Here is a 22,825-nt window from a genome sequence, read left to right on the forward strand (position 1 = left end):
AGCACAATTCTTACCCCTCTCTGAGAAACATCATGTTAGAAGTGAAATAACTAATGTTCTCCTAAAAAGTACACTTATTGAACACAGACATGAGAAGGAAAAGCATTGTGAAAGTCAAAATTGGTATTTCTTTCAGGACTGTTCAGAAGTTTTCCTGAGAACGCTATAAAAATGAAGGCAGTTTTGAACGTGTAAAAAAGTCAAATGATAGGCTATTTATAATTCAGTTTTAAAAAGTATTCGTCTATGTGACTGTATCTTCTTTCAGTGAACAGAAAAGGACTTTTAAATGTCTGGAAGCTTGCAGCTATCAATGCAAAAGTTTCATGAATTAGTATAATGAAGTGGAAAAAAGTACCTGGTTTTACAGTGTTGTTACACAGCTGAAAAAAAAAGTGTCATATCAGGTTGGGATCACATTTGTCTAAGAAAAAAATAACATGAGTCTTTCTTTTGTCAACACAAGAGATAAGCTGTATGATACCGGGAAATTATACTCTCTGATCTAGCCTTCTCTTATGGAAGTAACTAGAGATTAAAGTCTCCATCTAGAGTTGCATTACTTTTATACAGTTTTTATGTAAGGCAATTTTTGCAAGAGAAAAATACTAGCAAAAAAGGTCCAAATTTCTTTACAAAATCACAAGTCCATTTGGAATTCTGCATTTTTATTTCTTTCTCCTGGTGTTATGATATGTAAACAAAGAAAAGCCAAGTATTCCAAATTAAGAAGTTGTATATATGGATACCTTGTGCTTCTAATATGTCTTTATTTATCATATGTTGTGTGTGAAAAAATTTGCATATTGTTTACTCCAAATAATCTAATACATATTATAGTGTGAATATAATGTCATTGGCAAATAACACTAATTTCCTATTAAAATATACTTTTAACACTAACTAGATACAAATCCTGTTATAAAAATAAAAATACCTTATTTTTTGAAAATTTTTGTCCTTGTCTTTTAGTTATAAGTTTAGTCATTTCATTTGGGAGAAAAGTAATATCCTACCCACTCTTTCAAGATTAGTATTCTTTCAAATATATTTACTATGAAAATAATTTAATGGATGAAATTATTAGGCACTTAAAAATACTGGTTTACATTTATTGGACATATCCTATGTGCCCAACACCAATATTCATTTTAAGCCAAGCACAATAATATGAAACGGGTTTTATGATGTGTAAATTATCTTTCATGTGTTTTTGACACTGTTATTCATGTGTTTGCCTTTTTACTACCGATTAGGGATACATGAAATATGCCATGCTGGTTTACAAGGACTTAGTTTTCTACTTGTATAAAGAGTGTTTGTCCCTGTACCCTTTGGTATGTTTACTCAATTTCTTTACTTGGTTTTATTTATCTCACCACCAAATGATACAAAATTTTCTTTATTTTGTATTGTTCCTGTTTATGTTAATCATTCTTTCAGCCATACTCTCTATGGTAGTCTTTGAAGAACATCAAAAGGTACTCATTCAACCAAAAATATTTGTCCCTTCCCATGAGCTAGCTTGTTTCTTGAAATTCCCAGCATTAGGCAACCCCCTCGCCCATCTTGGCATTCACACCTCTGTTAAAATGCTGATAGATTCTTTTTTTTTTTTTAAGTTTTCAAATTTAGTAGCCCTTACTACCACTTACATTGCACCCTTCCTTTCTTTTCCCTTCTATTTCCTGTCCTATGCTATTCTTCTTTTAAAAAAAATGCTGGTCACAACCTACTAAATTATTTTAATAAACAATTACTAAAGAGGATCAACCCATCATTTGAAAAACACTAACAATATTTAACCTGACTTAAAGAAAGTTACATTTAAAACCAACTTAAATACATTTAAAACATGTATTCTTTTACCTAGAATAATCTTTGTTTTTGAGCCAGTCAGTAATGCAATGCTGATTTCTTTTTTTCCAAATCCTTATTATTTATTATTTTTTTAATTTTATTTTTCCATAAGTTATTGAGGTACAGGTGGTATTTGGTTACATGAGTAAGTTCTTTAGTGGAGATTTGTGAGAACCTGGTGCACTTATCACCCGAGCAGTACACACTGCACCATATTTGCAGTCTTTTATTCCTCGCCCCCTTCCACTCTTACCCCCAAGTCTCCAAAGTCCATTGTATCATTCTTATGCATTTGTGTCCTCATAGCTTAGCTCCCATATATCAGTGAGAACATACGATGTTTGGTTTTCGATTCCCGAGTTACTTCACTTAGAATAATAGTCTCTAATCTCATCCTGGTCATTGCAAATGCTGTATATGTACATACATATATATCAGAGTTTCTTTATCCACTCGTTGATTGAAGGGCATTTTGGTTGGTTCCACGATTTTGCTATTGTGAATTGTGCTGCAGTAAACATGTGTATGCAAGTATCTTTTTCAAATAATGACTTCTTTTCCTCTGGGTAAAGAGGAAAAAAAAAAAAGAAAAAAGAAAACCCAGTAGTGGGTTTGCTGGATCAAATGGTGGTTCTACTTTTAGTTCTTTAAGAAATCTCCACACTGTTTTCCATAGTGGCTGTACTAGTTTACATCCTCACCAGCAGTGTAGAAGTGTTCCCTGATCATCGCATCTACGCCAACATCTACTGTTTTTTGATTCTTTGATTATGGCCATTCTTACAGGAGTAAGGAGGTATTATATTGTGGTTTTGATTTGCATTTTCCTGATTATTAGTGATGTTGAGCATTTTTTCATGTATTTTTTGGCCATTTGTGTATCTTCTTTTGGGAATTGTCTATTCATGTCCTTAGCCCACTTTTTGATGCGATTGATTGTTTTTTTTCGTACTGATTTGTTTGAGTTAGTTGTAGATTCTGGATATTAGTCCTTTGTCAAATGTAAAGATTGTGAAGGTTTTCTCCTATTCTGTGGGTTGTCTGTACACTCTGTTGACTGTTCCTTTTGCTGTGCAAAAACTCTTTAGTTTAATTAGGTCCCAGCTATTTATCCTTGTTTTTATTGCAATTGCTTTTGGCTTTTTGGTCATGAACTCCTTGCCTATGCCAATGTCTAGAGGGTTTTTTTCTGATTTTATCTTCCAGAATTTTTACAGTTTTAGGTCTTAGGTTTAAGTCCTTAATCCATCTTGAGTGGATTTTTGTGTAAGATGAGAGATGAGGATCCAGTTTCGTTCTCCTACATGTGGCTAGCCAGTTATCCCAGCACCATTTGTTGAAAAGGGTATCCTTTCCTCACTTTATGTTTTTGTTTGCTTTGTCGAAGATCAGTTGGCTGTAAGTATTTGGATTTATTTCTGGATTCTCTATTCTGTTCCATTGGTCTATGTGCTTATTTTTCTGCCAGTATCATGCCATTTTGGTGACTATGGCCTTATAGTATAGTTTGAAATCAGGTAGTGTGATGCCTCCAGTTTTGATCTTTTTGCTCGGTCTTGCTTTGGCTATCCAAGTTCTTTTTTGGTTCCACATGAATTTTACAATTGTTTTTTCTAACTCTGTGAAGAATGATGGTGGTATTTTGATGAGGATTGCATTGAATTTGCAGATTGCTTTTGGCTGTATGGTCATTTTCACAATATTGATTCTACCCATCCATAAGCATGGATATGTTTCCATTTGTTTGTGTCATCTATGATTTCTGGTAGCAGTGTTTTGTAGTTTTCCCTGTAGAGGTCTTTTGACTCCTTTGTGAGGTATATTCCTAAGTATTTTTTTTTTTTTTGCAGCTATTGTGAAAGGGGTTGAGTTATTGATTTGATTTTCTGCTTGGTCATTGTTGGTATATAGAAGAGCTACTGATCTGTGTACGTTAATCTTGTATCCAGAAACTTTGCTGAATTTTTTTGTCAGTTCTAGAAGCTTTCTGGAGGAGTCCTTAGGGTTTTCAAGGTAAACAATCATATTGTCAGCAAAGAGGGTCAGTTTGACTTCCTTTTTACTGATTTGGATGCCCTTTATCTTTTTCTCTTGTCTGATTTCTCTGGGTAAGACTTCCAGTACTATGTTGGAGTGGTGAGAATGGCATCCTTGTCATGTTCCCGTTCTCAGGGGGAATGCTTTCAACTTGTTCCCATTCAGTATTATGTTGGCTGTGGGTTTGTCTTAGATAGCTTTTATTACATTAAGGTATGTCCCTTGTATGCTGATTTTGCTGAGGGTTTTTTTCAGAAAGGGATGCTGGATTTTGTCGAATGCTTTTTCTGCATCCTTTAAGATGATCACGTGATTTTTGTTTTTAATTCTGTTTATGTGGTGAATCACATTTATTGGCTTGCATATGTTAAACCATCCCTGCATCCCTGGGATGAAACTCACTTGATCATGGTGGTTGGTTTTTGATATGTTGTGGTTGATATGTTTTTTGATATGTTGTTGGATTCGGTTAGCTAGTATTTTGTTAAGGATTTTGGCATCTATGTTCATCAAGGATATTGGTCTGTAGTTTCCTTCTTTAGTTGTGTCCTTTCCTGCTTTTGGTATTAGGGTGATGCTGGCTTCGTAGAATGAATTAGGGAGGGTTCCTTCTTTCTCTCTCTTGTGGAATAGTGTCAAAAGGATTAGTACCAATTTTTCTTTGAATGTCTGGTAGAATTCTGCTGTGAACCTGTCTGGTCCTGGACTTTTTTTGTTGGTAATTTTTAAATTACCATTTCAACCTCACTGCTTCTTATTGGTCTGTTCGGGGTATGTAATTCTTCCTGATTTGAGCTAGGAGGGTTGTTTTTTCCAGGAATTTATCCACCTCTTCTAGGTTTTCCAGTTTATGTGCATAAAGGTGTTCATAGTAGCCTTGAATGATCTTTTGTATTTCAGTGTTGTCAGTTGTAATATCTCCTATTTCATTTCTCAGTGAGGTTATTTAAATTTTCTCTCTTTTTTCCTTAGGTTAATCTTGCAAATGATATATCAATCTTATTTATCTTTTCAAAGAACCAGCTTCTTGTTTCATTTATCTTTTGTACTTTTAAAAATTTCAATTTGTTTAGTTCTGCTCTGATCTTGGTTATTCCCTTTCTTTTGCTAGGTTTGGGTTTGGTTTGTTCTTGTTTCTCCAGTTCTTTGAGGCATGACCTTAGATTGTCTGTTTGTCCTGTTTCAGACTTTTTGATGTAGGCGTTAGGGCTATGAACTTTCCTCTTAGCACTGCCTTAGCTGTATCCCAGAGGTTTTCATAGGTTGTGTCATTATTGTCATTCAAACTGAGGGTTCTTAGCTTTGGTGGTTTAATGCTCTATTTTTGTGCTGGTTTACCACCTGCCAGGAGGTGGCACTTTCCAAAAAGCATCAGCTGTAGTAGTGTGGAGAGGGACTGTCAGTGGGCAGAGCCCTAGAGTTCCCAAGATTATATGTCCTTTGTCTTCGGCTACCAGAGTGGGTAGGGAAGGACCATTAGGTAGGGGCGGGGCTAGGTGTGTCTGGACTCAGACTCTCTTTGGGCAGGTCTTGCTGTGGCTGCTGTGGGGGGTGGGGGTGAGATTCCCAGGTCACTGGAGTTGTGTACCTAGGAGGATTATGGCTGCCTCTGCTGAGTCATGCAGGTTGTCAGGGAAGTGGAGAAAATCCACCGAAGGCCTGGTCTCACTCCCACCGTGCCACCTGCAACAACCCCAAGTCTGTTTCCAGGTGGAGGGCAGGCTTAAAAACTTGCCCGAGGCTTTCTGCCACCCAGCTGTGAGAGAAAAGGGCTTTAGTTCTTCCCCTGCCTGTGAAGTCTGCAAGCTGGATTCACACCCTCCCCTGAGTTCTGACCAAGAGGCTTTTCATCCCGCTCAAATTGTTACAAAGTTCAGCTAGGGAAGTCCTTCTCCCCTGTGGGGTTTTACCCCTTGTCCTCTGGCCTCCCTCCTGATGGATCCCTGTGGTGCCAGGCAGGAATGGGTTGCCTGGGGGGTTGGTGAGCTCCCAGGGCCTCCCTGCTGCCTTCTCCACCCCTGTATTTCGCTCAGCTTGGCTCTCTAACTTGACTCAGCTCCAGGTAAAGTTGGAACATCTCCTGCAAACAGACTTTCAGCTTCTCCAGTGGGGGTGTGTGTTTGGGAAAGGAGCAAAATGCTGATAGATTCTTGAGGGTAGGCCTAGATGGTGTGCCATTGTACACAAGCAACCCTGGGCATGTTGACTCTAGATGACCAGTAGAGAGCAGGCCAATTGGGAAAAATCAAGTTGACGATCTTGAAAAGATAACATATACACAAATCAACTGAAGATGGAATAAAGACTTAAATGTAAAACCCAAAACTGTAAAAACCCTGGAAGACAACCTAAGCAATACCATTCTGGATATAGAAACTGGCAAAGATTTCATGACAAAGACACCAAAAGCAATTGCAACAAAAGCAAAAATTGACAAATGGAATTTAATTAAAAAACTTCTGCACAGCAAAAGAAACCATCAACAAAGTAAACAGACAACTTATAGAATGGGAGAAAATATTCATGTACTATGCATCTGACAAAGGTCTAGTATCCAGCATCTATAAGAAACTTAAATTTACAAGAGAAAAACAAACAACTGCATTAAAAAGAGGGCAAAGGACATGAATGAACACTTTACCAAAGAAGACATACGTCAGCCAACAAGCGTATGAAAAAAAGCTAAATATCAATAATTATTAGAGAAATGCAAACCGTAACAAGATACCATCTCACACCAGTCAGAATGGCTACTTAAAAAGTAAACAAACAAACAAACAGATACTGGCAAGGTTGAGGAGAAAAGGGAATGCTTATACGCTGTTGGTGGGAATCTAAATGAGTTCAAGTATTGTGGAAAGCAATGTGGTAATTCCTAAGAGAGCTAAAAGTAGAACTATCATTCAACCCAGCAATCTCATTACTGGATGTATGCCCAAAGGAATATAAATTATTCGATCATAAAGACACATGCACATGTATGTTCATTGCAGAACTTTTTACGATAGCAAGGATATGGAATCAACCTAAATGTCCATCAGTGGTAGACTGGATAAAGAAAATGTACATATACACCATGGAATGCTATGCAGCCATAAAAAAGAATGAGATCACATCCTTTCCAGGAACATGAATGGTGCTGGAGGTCATTATCCTTAGCAAACTAATGCAGGAACAGAAAAAGCAAATACTGCTTGTTCTCACTTATAAGTGGGAGCTAAATGATGAGAACATGTGGACACATAGAGAGGAACGATACACACTGGGTCTATAGGAGGGTGAAGGGTGGAAGGAGGGAGAGGATCAGGAAAAATAACTAATGGATACTAGGCTTAGTACCTGAGTCATGAAAAATTCTGTACAACAAACCCCATGACACAAGTTTACCTATATAACAAACCTGCACATGTACACCTGAACCTAAAATACAAGTTAAAAAAGAAAGAAAGAAAAGATACCAAAGACAAGCCTACTTCAATTCATTTGCCTAGTTATTAACACCAACTAGTTGATGTGGTGAGTTGGAATTTTGAACTATTTTCAGAGTTACCAAGAATGCAACTCTTTTGGACCATCCATTTAAACTGGTTTCCAGGTTGGGACTTGAAATCCCAACTTACGGCAAGAGTTAATCTCATCTGCTCTAGGGTGAAAGATAGTAATGAGGATAAACCTAGAGAAATAAAGAAAGTTGTGTCTCTGGGAGAGTTTCAGGTAGACTAGAGGGAGACTGTATTAGTCCATTTTCACGCTGCTGATAAAGACATACCCGAGACTGGGAAGAAAAAGAGGTTTAGTTGGACTTACAGTTCCACATGGTTGGGGAGGCCTCAGAATTGTGGCAGGAGGCAAAAGGCACTTCTTACATGGTGGCAACAAGAGAAAATGAGGAAGATGCAAAAGCAGAAACCCCTGATAAAACCATCAGATCTCGTGAGACTTATTCACTACCATGAGAACAGTGTGGGGGACACTGCCCCTGTGACTCAAATAATCTCCTACCGTGTCCCTCCCACAACACGTGAGAATTATGGGAGTACAATTCAAGATGAGATTTGGGAGGGGACACAGAGCCAAACCATATCAGAGACTTTGTAGAGGAAATGCTTTATTGGAAAATGGAGGATGAGCAGTTCCTCATTGTAGGTGTTTATGGTTCAGGATAGTAGATAAACATCTCTCTGCATTTATCTTTCACTTTGTAATGTACTTTTCACAGAGATAAACTAAGGAGACATTGCACTTTGAATGAAGAGGATTTAAAAACATGGCACACATTGCCCCCTTTGAAACCCTTGGACAGTGACATGTGCATATGGAATGAGTGGTGACCACATCAAGAAGACTAAATATAATTTGATGTATTTTGAGAAGCTTCAAGCTGATCTACAACAATTGGTATTCTTTCTATAATTTCAGCTAACATTACTTTATGATATGAACTCTGCATACAAATTAATCTGAAATACTCAATATTCTCTAAACACATACTACTCTCTACCAAAATATTACACTGGTCACCCCCAACCCCATTTTTATAGACTTATTTTTAGGACAGTTATAGATTTTCAGAAAAATTTAGAAGTACAGAGAATTCTCATATATCCTGTACCTAGCTTCCCCTATTGTTACCATCTTAAATTAATATGGTAAATTTCTTATAATTAATGAGCTAATATTTCTACTTTATTTATATTTTAATTTAATTTTTTTTTTTTGAGACAGAGTCTTGCTCTACCACCCAGGCTGGAGTGCAGTGGTGCGATCTCGGCTCACTGCAACTTCTTCCTTCCCGACTCCAGTGATCCTCCCACCTCAGCGTCCTGAATAGCTGGGATTATGTGTGTGCACCACCATGCCTGCTAATTTTTGTATGTTTTGTAGAGATAGGGTTTCGCCAAGTTGCCCAGACTGGTCTGGAACTCCTGGGCTCAAGCTATCTGCCCGCCTCGACCTCCCAAGGTGCTAGGGTTATAGCCATGAGCCACTGCGCCCAGCCCAATATTTGTACTTTAGTATTAACTAAAGTTTATACTTTATTCAGAATTCCGTAGTTTTTACCTAATGTCCTTTTCCTGTTCTGTGATTTCATCCAGGATACCACATTCCATTTAGTTGTCATGTTTCTAGGCTGCTCTTGTCTGTGGCAGTTTCTCAGATTTGCCTTGTTTTTGATGACCTTTACAGTTTTGAGTACTGGTCAGGTATTTTTTAGAATATTCCTCAATAGAATTTGTCTGATGTTTTTCTGATGATAAGCCTGGGTTTATGGGTTATGGGAGAAAGACCATTTTCATCACATCATGTCAAGGGTACATACTATCAGCATGATTTATAACTGTAGAGGCTGGGCTTTCATAATAAAGTTTTAAATCTTTGGTTTACCTTGATGTCTTGTCTAGTATTCCACCATTTTCTGTCATCAGCCCACGCTGAAACTATACTGACCTCCATGTACAGCTATACAGTACTTCTTGCTATTTCACGTCTTTACACATGCGTTTCCCCGCTTACCTTCCATCTTCACCTAGGTCATGCATTCATATTTTTCAGAAATAGCACATTTGCTGGGATGTTGCTGCTCAGTCATAATTAGATGACCTCCTTCTCTGCTAACTTTGGAGCTAATACAAAATGTTCCATTGGCTGAAACTTTGAGTACTAACATGATGCCACATGGGTAGCAGAGGTAGTAACGCCTTTGCTTTCTGATAGTTCAATGTACAAAAACTTTGTTTCATGCACAAAATTATTTAAAATACTCTAGAAAATTACTTTAAGGCTATGTGTATTAGGTGAATATGAAACATTATTCCATGTTTAGACTTGGGACCCCTCCTCAAGATATGTCATTATGTATCTGAAAATCTTCCAAAATCCAAAATAATCTGAAATTCAAAAAACTTCTGTTCCCAAGCATTTTAGGTAAGGGATACTAGGCTGGGCATGGTGGTTCACACCTGTAATCCCAGCACTTTGGGAGGCCAAGGTGGGTAGATTACCTGAGGTCAGGAGCTCGAGACCAGCCTGGCCAACATGGCGAAACAGCATCTCTACTGAAAATACAAAACTAGCTGGGCATGGTGGTGGGTGCCTGTAATCCCAGTTACTCAGGAGGCTGAGTCAGGAGAATCACTTGAACCTGAGAAGTGGAGGTTGCAGTGAGGCAAATCGTGCCACTGCACTCCAGCCTGGGTGACAGAGCAAGGCTCCATCTCAAAAAAAAAAATATAGATAAGGGATACTAAATCCGCACAACACTTTCCATATTTCTATACAGCACCTATTAAGCTGTTTGATAATGGTTTTGCTTGTTTGACTTTCCCACTGGATTTAAGCACCAGGACAAGAACTATGTCTTATTTGTGTTTGTATCCTCAAACAGCAACGTCTTGTACATTGTGGACACATAAGTGCTTATTGAATGAATACATGAATAAAGAAGTGAATAAAATAACTCTGAAGCTGAAAACAAAATTGTTAACACAAGCCCATACGTTATATATTTAATATACAGTCATGCATCATTTATTGATGGGGATACATTCTAAGAAATGCATAATTCGGCAATTTTGTCATTGTGCTAGGGTTATACAGTACACTTACACAAATTTCAATGAAATAGCCTATGACACACCTAGGCTATATTTTACAGCCTATTCCTTTTAAGCTATAAACCTGTACAGCATGTTACTGTACTGAATACTGTAGACAATTGCAACACTATGCTATTTGTGAATTTGAACACACCTAAACATAGAAAAGGTACAGTAAAAATATGGCATAAAAGATAGAAAATGGCACATGTATATAGGGCACCATGAACAATATGTGGACTGCAGGTCACACTGGGTAAGTTGGTGAAGGAGTGGTGAGTGAATGTGAAGTCCTAAGACATTACTGTAGACTTTACAAACACTACATTTAGACTACACCAATTTTACTTTAAAGAGTTTATTTCTTGAATAATAAATTAACCTTAGCTTATTGTAATTTTTTACTTTACGAACTTCTATATTTTTAAAAAACTGTTTTACCCTTTTGTAATAACACAGCTTAATACAGAACCACATTGTACAATTGTACAAAAATATTTTCTTTCTTTATATATTTATTCTATAAGCTTTTTCCTATTAATTTTTTAAAACAGTTTAAACTTTCTTGTTAAAAGTTAAGACACAAAAATAAACATGAGCCTAGGCCTACACAGGGTTGGGATCATAAATGTCACTGTCTTGCACTGAAAGTTCTTCTGGCGCAATAACACACATAGGGCTGCCATCTCCTGTAATAACAATACCTTCTTCTGTAATACTTCTTGAAAGATCTGCCTAGGGCTGTTTTACATTAACTTTTTTTTAATAAGTAGAAGGAGTACACTCTAAAATAATGATAAAAAGTACAGTATAATACATACATGAACCAGTAACATAGTCCTTTATTTTATCAAGTACCATGTACTGTAAATAATTGTATGTGTTATACTTTTTATAGGACTGTCAGCACAGTAGGTTTTTTTACACCAGCATCACCACAAACACGTGAGTAATGTATTAAATCATGACACATCGACAGCTATGACATTGTTATGGGATCCCTGGGGTGTGCTTTGTCATCCAGAAACCTCTGTGTCTGGTGGCGCCTCTGCCCGAGTTTTTACTTGAGCCCACTGTTCTTGTTCCACCCATTTGGCCTGGCAGGCTGTGCTGGGCTTGTGCTACTGGCCCGAATCTCACACATGGCAAGGGAAGCCAGCTGTGGAGCGGCAAGGGGTGTGTGAGTGAGTGAGCATGGGGTCTGGCCACTGCACATGGCTGGGCATGATGGCTGCGGTGGGGTGGGTAGCTCCAGGCACTGGCATGGACACTGGCTCCCTGTGAGGCTGTGGCTGAACCAGGCCTAACCACAAGCAGCTTTCATGGCTGACACCAAGGAATGCAGTGGTGACTGCAAGCTTGGAGATGTCAGGAATGACAGAGCCCCAAAGAGACTGTCACAGCCATGGCTCAAGGAGCTCCTAGGTCTGGGCTCCCCGAAGTGCCACAGCTCTTCTCTCCTTCTTATCTCGCTCAATGTGGTGAGCAAGGGGCATGTTTCAGCCCTGTTTGTGTTAAAGCTCTTTCAACCCTGCCATTCAGCAGGTCCCAAGTTCTTGTCCCATGCCGAGTTATATTTTATTTGACAGATTTTAGCAGGGTCATATTCACAATAATAAATATTTCACAGTTCTAATGATTTAACCCTAATCACTCTTTTTACCTCATTGAACTCATTTTGTGTATCTTTTAGATGCTATTTGGCAGGATCCCTTTTCTAAATGCCATCAGATTTCTCCTAATGATATGGGAAGCATTCAGAATATGTTTCTGGCAATCCAGGGTGATATTTTAAATAGTGGCATTGTTCTTGATTTTGTTTTGTGCTAACCAACTTTTATATATAGCTTTGTCTTTATTGGAAGGCCTTCAAATATTTTCATAGCACTAGACACATGTGATACATTCTTACAAGGAGCTAATGAAGTCCTTTGTAGCAAAGAATAAAAGGCCAAACTGGTAGTTTTTCATAGTTATAAAACCTACTCTTAAACTTTGAAAATGATATATATGTCAATAAAAATATTTATAATGTTCCAGCATAAGTCATTGCCCATTTATTCAACTGCTTCAACAGTACTGCATTCAAATAATGAAAACTCAACATTCAAATGGTGTTTAATAAAATTGCTCTCTGCCTCTCTCTGATTGTTATCTTGGATGAAAAAGCAATTCAGATATAATAATAGCTTGCATCATATAATGAATGTGTGTCCCTACCAGTACATAATGAAAGAACATGAAATTAATACAAATAAAAGCTTTATTTTTTTGATATCAGTTGTATGCTTTCTTTTTGTGTTCAGTTGATTAGTGGGATAACTAAATTTTATATTAAAATTCAATAAAATGTTTTTTATTTAAAAATATCAATATTGTTCTTAAACAAGCAAATGTAAATCATGATAAGATAATTCAGCTACAACAGGATGGCATTAGTGTGTTGTATATTTATGAGGATTAATGGGGTGACTGCTAAAAGTGAGAAGCACTAGAAACTCAAAAAAGTAAAGAATTTGCATTTTTGTAGCCAGTGAACCACTTCTCTGCTAACAGAGAAAGCAGTAAGGTGACAATCCCAAATTTTATTCATTATAGCTTATATTAGTTGATGTAGTATTATTTTAGTATTATTTGCTTTGATGGGATAAAGCATTCATAGTTTTTGGTTTGAGCTTTGAAGTAACTGATTTAGATTGTTAATTTTTTATTGAACTATAAAGATGAGTGCAGAAATTATAAGTATACAACTTCGCTGATTTTTTTGTGAGGGAAATACACCTGTGCCTGTGTAGCCAGCAACTAGGTCAACATTATTAGCATGCAGAAGCCCCCCTTTTTACCCCATTTTAGATACTACCACCTGCCAAGGGACAATATGTATCTAACATTTATGTATTTGTTTGCCTATTACTGACCTATATCTAAATAGAATCACAGAATATGTAGTCTTTTGCATCTGGCTTCTTTTATTCATCAGTATGTCTGTAAGATTCATCCTCGTTTTTACATGTAGCAGTAGTTCATTCTTTTTATTGCTGCATAGTATGCCATTGTATGAATATAACAAAGTTCACTTACTCTTTCTGCTGTTGATGGACTTTGGGTTGTCTCTAATTTAGGTTATTTTAAATGATGCCTCTGTGAGCAGTCATGTGTGTGCCTTTGTATCTTTTGGTACACATATGCACTAATTCTTGTTGACTATAGCATTGCTGTATCATAGACTTAGTCTTGTTTTAAGCTTTAGTAGATGATGCCATATAGCTTTAGACTTCCATCAGCAAGCAGAGTATGAGAGTTCCAGTTTCTCCACATTGTCATTAACACTTGGTGTTATATATCTTTTTCATTTTAGCCATTCCCCTGGGTGTGTAATGAAGTTTGTTAGAATTATTAGATCAGGAAAATATGTGTCTGCATGGAGGATTTTAAATAATGAAAATTCTGTTCAGTGAACATGTGTAGGTGATAGCCCAATAGTGAGTGTAGAGGCCTCTGGCTGGGAAGAACAAGTGTCCTTCTTGTGTTACAATTTCTCTGTGGCTTAATGTCATTCACTTCATCTCAACATTTTTATCTCACCAATTATAACCAAAAGCAAGCAACTTCCAAAACTGATTCTACTTAAACTGTCATTTGAAGCCAGTCTTGGAAGGTAGAGTGAGTCCTGGAACAGAAATCTTTATAGTAGTTTTGAAAGATTAACCTGGTTAAGCTCAATTTAGAATTGTAAACATACGCTCATCACACCAGAGAGTTTTGTTGTTTTGGGTGGATCAGCAAGTAGAATCTGGATTTTGAAAGCCTAAGAAACGTTTTGGAATGTTAAAGTTGGCTATCCTCAAACTCAAATTATTTGAGTTAAAGTTATTTTGCAATTGAATGCAAGAAGAAAGTATATTCATCACCATGGTGGTTGTATCAGATTATTATTATTATTATTATTATTATTATTATTATTATTATTACTTTTTGAGACATAGTCTTGCTCTGTCACCCAGTCTGGAGTGCAGTGGTGCAATCATGGCTCATTGCAGCCCTGACCTTGTGGGCTCTAGTGATTCTCTGCCTCAGCCTCCCTAGTAGCTGGGACTATAAGCACATGCTGCCATGCCTGGCTAATGTTTATTTTTATATTTTTTTTGTAGAGATGGTGATATGGTTTGGCTCTGTGTCCCCATCCAAATCTAATGTCAAATTTTAATACCTACATGTTAGGGGAGGGACCAAGTGGGAGGTGATTGGATCATGGGGGTGGATTTCCCCCTTGCTGTTCTCATGATAATTAAGTGTGTTCTCACAATATCTGATGGTTTAAAAGTGTGTGGCACCTCCCTCTTCTCTTTCTGTCTCTCTCCTGCTATGCCATGGTAAGACGTACATGCTTCCCCTTTGCCTTCCACCATGATTGTAAGTTTCCTGAGGCCTCCTAGCCATGCTTCCTCTACAGCCTGTGGAACTGTGAGTTAATTAACTTATTTTCTTTATAAATTACTTAATGTCAGGTAGTTCTTTATAGCAGTGGGAGAATGGACTAATAAAAAAATTGATGTCAGTAGTGGGGCGATGCTATAAAGATGCCTGAAAATGTGGAGTCAACTTTGGAACTGGGTAATGGGCAGAGGTTGGAACAATTTGGAAGTCTCAGAAGAAGACGGGGAGATGTGGGAAAGTTTTGAACTTCCTAGAGACTTGTTGTATGGTTTTAACCAAAATACTGATAGTGATATGGACAATGAAGTTCAGTGGCCTCAGATGGAGATGAGGAACCTATTGAAAACTGGAGTAAAGGTCATTCTTGCTATGCTGTAGCAAAGGGACTGGTGCCATTTTGCCCCTGCCCTAGAGATGTTTGGAACTTTGAACTTGAGAGAGATGAATCAGGGTATATGGAGGAAGAAATTTCTAAACAGCAGTGTTCAAGATGTGGCCTGGCTGCTTCTAACAGCATATGCTGATATGAATTTGTAATGAGATTGTCTGAAATTGGAACTTATATTTAAAAGGGAGGCAGAGCATGAAAGTTGGCAAAATTTGCAGCATGATCATGAGGTAGAAGAGAAAAGCCCATTTCCTAGGGAGAAATTCAAGCGGGCTGCAGAAATTTTCATAAATAAAAGAAGCTGAATGGTAATAGCCAAGGCAATGGGAACATTCTCAAGGGCATGTCAGAGACTGTCACAGCAGCCCCTCCCATCACAGGCCCTAAGGCCTAGGAGGATAAAATGGTTTTGTGAGCCAGGTCCAGGGCTCAGCTACTCTGTGCAGCCTTGGAACATGATGCCCTGCACTGCTTCAGGTCCACCTGTGGCTAAAAGGGACCAAGGAACAGCTCAGGCCATGGCTTCAGAGGGTACAAGTCCCAAGCCTTGGCAGCTTCCACATGGTGTTGGGCCTGCAGGAGCACAGAAGGCAAGAGTTGAGGTTTGGGAACCTCCGCCTAGATTTCAGAGGATGCATGGAAACATCTGGATGTCCAGGCAGAAGTCTGTTGCAAGGGCAGAGCCCTCATGGAGACCTCTACTACAGCAATGCAGAGGGGAAATGTGGGCTTGGAGCCCTCACACAGAGTCCCCAATGGGGCACTGCCTAGTGGAGCTGTGAGAAGAGGGCTACTATCCTCCAGACCCCAGAATTGTAGGTCCACTGACAGCTTGCACCATATATCTGGAAAAGCTGCAGGTACTCATTGCCAGACCATGAAAGCAGCCAAAGGTGCTGTACCCTGCAAAGCTACAGGGGTGGGGCTTCCCAAGGCCTTACGAGCCCACCCCTTGCATCACTGTGTCCTGTATGTGAGTCAAGGAGTCAAAGGAGATTATTTTGGAGCTTTACGATTTATTGAGTGCCCTGCTGCATTCAGACTTGCATGAAGCCTATAGCCCCTTCGTTTTGGCCAATTTCTCCGTTTTGGAATGGTAGCATTTACTTAATGCCTGCACCCCCATTTTATCTTGAAGGTAACTGAATTGTTTTGGTTTTACTGGTTCATAGGCAGAAAGGACTTGCCTTGTCTCAGATGAGACTTTGGACTTATTTGGACTTTTGAGTTAATGCTGGAATGAGTTAAGACTTTGGGGGACTGTTGGGAAGGCATGACTGGTTTTGAATTGTGAGAAGGACATGAGATTTGTGAGAAGCCAGGGGCTGAGTGATATGATCTGGCTCTGTGTCCCCTCCCAAATCTCATGTCAAATTGTAATCCCCACGTGTCAGGGGAGGGACCTGGTGGGAGGTAATTGGATCATGGGGGATGGGTTTCTCCCTAGTTGCTCTTGTGATAGTGAGCGTGTTCTCATGAGATCTGATGGTTTAAAAGTGTGTGGCACTTCCCCCTTCTTTCTCCTGCTCCATTTTGGTAAGATGTGCTTGCTTCCTCTTCACCTTCCACCGTGATTGTAAGTTTTCTGAGGCCTCATAGCCATGCTTCCTGTATAGCCTATGAAACTGTGAGTCAATTAAACCTCTTGTCTTTATCAATTACCCAGTCTCAGGTAGTTCTTTATTACAGTGTGAGAATGGACTAATATAGATGGGGGTCTCACTATGTTGACCAGGCTGGTCTCCAACAGAGTAGTATTATTTTACTTCTTGTTCTTCATTCTTTCCCACATAGTTTTTAGAATTAGATGACATAGTGGTTACTAGGAGCTGTGGGAGCTGGAGTTGGTAGAAAATGGGGAGATAAGGATCTAAAGATACAAAGGAGCAGATACATAGGAAAAAAAAGTCGAGAGATCTAATCTACCACCTGAAGACTATAGTGAATAAAATTTTTTTGGATTGGGAATATTTGTCAAATAGGTAGATTTTAGTTACTTTTCTAAAGAAAGTAACTATGTGTGATGATAATATGTGTTAATTTGTTTCACTATAATAAGGATTTTACTATTTCCATGCCATAACATCATTTTGTAAACCTCAGTCACACTAAAATTCATGTTTTTTTAAAAAATAACTGGATCATAGTGAAGAGATAGTTTCTCTGTCAGTTTTCATTTTCTGGTCATTACCTGTGTAAGAGAGATTTTTTTTTCTACCTTAATAGAGTATCTTGATTTGGTAAATTGCCCACTATTCAGAGACAGTGGATTTATACAGAAGCAGAGAATATTTTCTTTGTTGTTATCACTACTCAGGATTCTCTCCAAGAAAAGTGTGCTCCCTGCAGTCTCTGGTTATTTCTTTAGTTCATCAGAATAAGACTGTAAGTAAAGCATAGAAAGAACATACTGTCAGTAAAGCATAGAAATAAATCAGATCAATGTTTGTGAAGTTTAATTTATTATAGACTATTCAATCAGGTCACAAATTAATTCGGGGGTGTAATTTTCTTCAGAGTCCTGGAAACCATTTAGATCTTTCCATATGAAGCATCTGTACTTCATCACCTTTACATTAGGAAATTGGCAGTATTTTATAGCATTATATTAAATATTTAATAAAAATTTTGTATTGATAATTTAGAATAATCTATTTTTATTTTCTTATATATCAATATCTGATTATCTGGGAAATTCAATGAACCTTTTACATTCACAAAGCAACATTTGTATGTTTGGCCTACTGTAATACATTTTAATAACTGACTATTTTGCATTAAGATGTGGAAATTATTCTTAAAGGGGTTTTATTTGTTAATAGGTCCTAAGTGAAGCCACATAGCAAAGCCAATCAAAAAGATTGAGTACATCAATCTGAGTTTATTGCAGTTCTACACTGAATTTGAACAGGGGACAAAAGCCTTTCTGTTCTATAATCATCCTCTGAGTCAATTGATTATCCCAATACTATCAATACTTCTTCTAATACTGAATAAATTCGTGGGAAGATACAATCATAGCTAACTTAGGGATGGTGCAAGGAAAATTATTTTATTAGATGGAGGTGTAAGCAGTGTGTTGTGGCAGAAGGAAGAATAGAAGACAGAAAATATCCAATTTCCTCCAAAATTAGCTGGGCATGTTGGCATGCACCTCTAGTTCCAGCTACTCAGGAGGCTGAAGTGGGAGGATCGCTTAAGCCCTTAAGTTTGACACTGCAGTGAGCCACAATTGTACCACTGCATTCCAGCCTGGGCAGTAGAGTGAGACGCCATCTCTAAAAATAACTCTAGTCTTGGGTTGGCTGAACCTGTTGCTGTCTGTGTGACATGCAACTCACTTAACTTCTCTTGATCATAGCTTCCTTGCCTGTAAAATGAAGAGAAATATTCACTGTTACTACCTTAAATATTTATCACAAGCATTAAAAAGTTTTTCAAATTTATAATACTCTGTAGACAACACATTATAATTAGAATTTCACAATCTGGGATAAAGAGATTGCCACTAAAAATTATTATAGAAACAGAAAATACTTGCTTCCCAATGAACATACATTATATGTAACTGGTGAAATAAGTAAAAACAAACTAGAAAAATACATCTATCACCTTGTATTATATGTAGATATGCAGTCTTTATTATTTAATAAGGTTTGCACTATCAGTAAGATATAGTCTGGTAAAGGACTTAAGGCAGGACTGTAAGAACAACAAAATTAAGGTTATTACAGAAAATAATATAAGATATAATGTGATAAAACCAATACAACAAATTGTTTTTATAGCTATTATAAAAGCTGTTATTGTTTTATAACTGTTATAGCTGTCTTACTTTGAAGAAGCATTGAAAAAAAACTCAGTGTTCCTGCTGGCAGTAATGTACCCCACCCCGCCACTGTCAGGACATGTCCATGCACAGGCACTGCCACAGAGCCACAACTGGTGCAAGTGCATGCTTGCATTCCCCACCACCCTGACACCACCTATGCATGCTTATGGACTCTGTTGCTCCACTACTGCTGGCACATGTGCACGAGCATGGACCCTGCTGTCACCACCTGATGAGGTGCTTTTGCTGGTAACTCCCCATCAAAATGTTGTTGCCAGTGTACCAGGAACACCTTGCCCCTTTAGAGCAGAAGGTGTTTAACCTTGAGGGACCAGAGAACAAATTCATGGGCCTGGTACTAGCCCCGCGAGGTTATAGCATGTAGCCCAGGAATGCTGAGCTGATCTTTGGTCCCCTGAAACCAGCCAGAAATGAAAGCAGTTGACTGAATCAAAGTTATACTACAGTCAAATCTTCAAAGGCATAAAAGAATATAAAAGCAAAAAATCCCATCCAAAAAACAGCAACATTAAAGATTAAATGAATATCAGCCCACACAGGAGAAAGAACCAGCACATGAACTCTGGCAGTTCTATAAGCCAGAATATCTTGCCTCCAAGCAACCACACTAACTCTCCAGCCATGATTTTTAACCAGGCTGAAATGGCAGAAATGACATATAGAATTCAGAATCTGGATAGTGACAAAGATAATCAGAATTCAGGTGAAAGTTGAAACCCAATCCAAAGAATCTTAGGAATCTAATAAAATGTTACAAGAGCTGCAAGACATTTTAAGAAAGAAACAAACTGATCTGATAGAGCTGAAAAATAAACTACAGGAATTTCACAATACAATCAGAAGTATTAGCAACAGAATACACCAAGCCGAGGAAAGGATCTCAGGGCTTGAAGACTGGTTCTTTGAACCACCTCAATCAAATAAAAATAAAGAAAAAAGAATAAAATGGAATGAAGAAAGTCTCCAAGAAATATAGGATTATATAAAGGGACCAATCATATGAACATTGGCATCCCTGAAAGTGAGGGAGAGAACACAAGCAAATTGGAAACATATTTGAAGATATTGTCCATGAAAAATTTCCCAAACTTGCGAGAGGTCAACATTCAAATTCAGGAAATTCAGAGAACCCATGTGAAATACTATACAAGAGGATCATCCCCAAGACATATAGTCATCAGATTCTCCAAGGTCAACAGGAAAGAAAAAACATTAAAGACAGCTAGAGAGAAGGGGCAGGTTGCCTACAAAGTGAACTCTATCAGGCTAACAGTGAACCTTTCAGCAGAGACGCTATAATCCAGAAGAGACTGGGGTCATATATTGAGCATTGTGGAAGAAAAGGAATTCCAAACAAGAATTTCATATCTGGCCAAGCTAAGCTTTATAAGTGAAAGGTGAAATAAGTTCCTTTTCAGACAAGTAAATGCTAAAATAATTTGTTACCACCAGACCTGTCTTACCAGAGGTCCTTAAGTGAGTGCTAAACATGGAAATGAGACAGTTACCAGCCACCACGAAAACACACTTAAGTATATTGCCAAAACATACTTTGACCATTGACAATACAAAGCAATTATACGATCAAGTCTGAATAACAACCAGATAACAGTGTGATAGGATGAAGTCCACACATATCAATATTAACCTTGAATGTAAACAGGCTAAACACCCTACTTAAAAGGCTTAGAGTGGTAAGTTGGATAAAGAGGCAAGACCCAACTATTTGCTGTCTTTAAGAGACCCCTTTCACATGCAATGACATGGATAGGCTCAAAGAAAAGGGATAGAGAAAAATCTACCAAGTAAATGAAAAACAAAATAAAAGCATGGGTTGCTTTTTAATTTCAGACAAAACAAATTTTAAACCAATGAAGATGAAAAAGACAAAGACAGGCATTATATAATGGTAAGGTTCAATTCAACAAGAAGACTTAACTATTCTATATTTATATGCATCTAACACTGGAGCAGCTAGATTCATAAAGCAAGTTCTGTGAAGTTCCTAACATCACATGTAGAGGAACTAGAAAAACAATTGTGTACCAACCCTAAAGCTAGCAAGAAAAGAAGTAACCAAAATCAGAACTGAACTGAATGAAATTGAGACATGAAAAACCACACAAAAGATCAATGAAACCAAAGTTGGTCCTTTTAAAGAATAAATAGATCAATAGACCACTAGCTAGACTACTGAAGAAGAAAAAAAGAGAAGACCCAAATAAAAATAATCAGAAATGACAAAGGAGATATTACCACCAACTCCACAGAAATTCAAAAAACACCCAGTGATTATTACAAATACCTTTATGCATACAAACTAGAAAACAATAGATAAATTCCAGGAAACATACAACTTCTCAAGATTGAACCAGGAAGAAATTGAATCTCTGAACAGACTTATAATTTATGAGTTCCAAAATTGAATCAATAATCTATGTTCATAGATATGAACATAGATTCATTAACATGAACATAGAGGGCCTCCTCCCTGACTCATTCTATGAGGCCAGCATCATTCTGATACAAAACCTGGCAGAGACACAACACAAAAAGAAAACTTTAGGCCAATATCCCTGATTAACGTAGATGGAAAAATCCTCAACAAAATACTAGCAAACTAAATCTAGCTGCACATCAAAAAGCAAATCCATCATGATCAAGTAGGCTTTATTCCCAGGATGCAAGGTTGGCTCAACCTATGCAAATCAATAAAGGTGATTCATCACATAGATAGAACTAGAAACAAAAACCACATGGTCATCTCAATAGATGCAGAAAAGGTTTTCAATAAAGTTCAATATCCCTTCATGATAAAACTCTCAACAAACTAGGCATTAAAAAAATACCTCAAAATAATAAGGGCCCTCTATTACAAACCCACAGCCAACATTATACTGAATGGGCAAAAGCTGCAAGCATTCTTCTTGAGAACTGCAACAAGACAAGTATATCCACTCTCACAGCTTCTGTTCAACATAGTACTGGAATTCCTAGCCAGAGCAATCAATCAGGCAAGAGAAAGAAATAAAAGGCACCCACATAGGAAGAGAGGATGTCAAAATAACTCTCTTCACAGACAGTATGATTTTATACCTAGAAAACCCCATAGTTTCTGCTCCAAAGCTCCTAGATCTGATAAATGACTTCATCAGTGTTTCAGGATACAAAATCAATACACAAAAATCAGCAGCATTTTTATACACTAACAACCTCCAAGCTGAGAGCCTTATCAAGAATACAATTCCATTTACAATAGCCATAAAGAAAGAAAAATATACCTAGGAATACGCAAATGAGGAAGGTTAAATATCTCTACAATGAGAATTACAAAGCACTGCTGAAAGTAATCAGAGATGACACACACAAATGGAGAAACACACCATCCTCATGGATAGGTAGAATCAATATTGTTAAAATGGCGTTACTCCCCAAAGCAGTGTATAGATTCAATGCTATTCCTATCAATCTACTAATACCATTTTTCATGGAATTAGAAAAAATTGTTCCAGAATTCATATGAAACCAAAAAAGAGCTCAAATAGCTGAAACAATCCTAAGTAAAAAGTGTAGAGCCTGAGGAATCACCATACCCAACTTCAGACTATACTACAAGGCTACAGTAACCAAAACAGCGTGGTACTTGTACAAAGA

General features: G+C 37.7%; 1 protein-coding gene across 7 annotated transcripts in view, besides 1 other annotated feature; it reads left to right on the forward strand.

The window, feature by feature from the left end:
* DACH2 (dachshund family transcription factor 2) overlaps window positions 1-22,825 on the forward strand; it is a 684,152-nt gene that overhangs the window by 77,566 nt on the left and 583,761 nt on the right. The window lies entirely within an intron of this gene.
* Window positions 5,716-6,216: an enhancer, noted in NCBI's record as "H3K27ac hESC enhancer chrX:85486735-85487235 (GRCh37/hg19 assembly coordinates)". NCBI's record gives its function as "activates a minimal SCP1, AML or CMV promoter by ChIP-STARR-seq in naive H9 embryonic stem cells {active_cell/tissue: H9 hESC(naive)}" and the evidence as "EXISTENCE:reporter gene assay evidence [ECO:0000049][PMID:30033119]".

Source organism: Homo sapiens, chromosome X (genome assembly GCF_000001405.40).
Source record: "Homo sapiens chromosome X, GRCh38.p14 Primary Assembly".
Taxonomy (NCBI): Eukaryota; Metazoa; Chordata; class Mammalia; order Primates; family Hominidae; genus Homo; species Homo sapiens.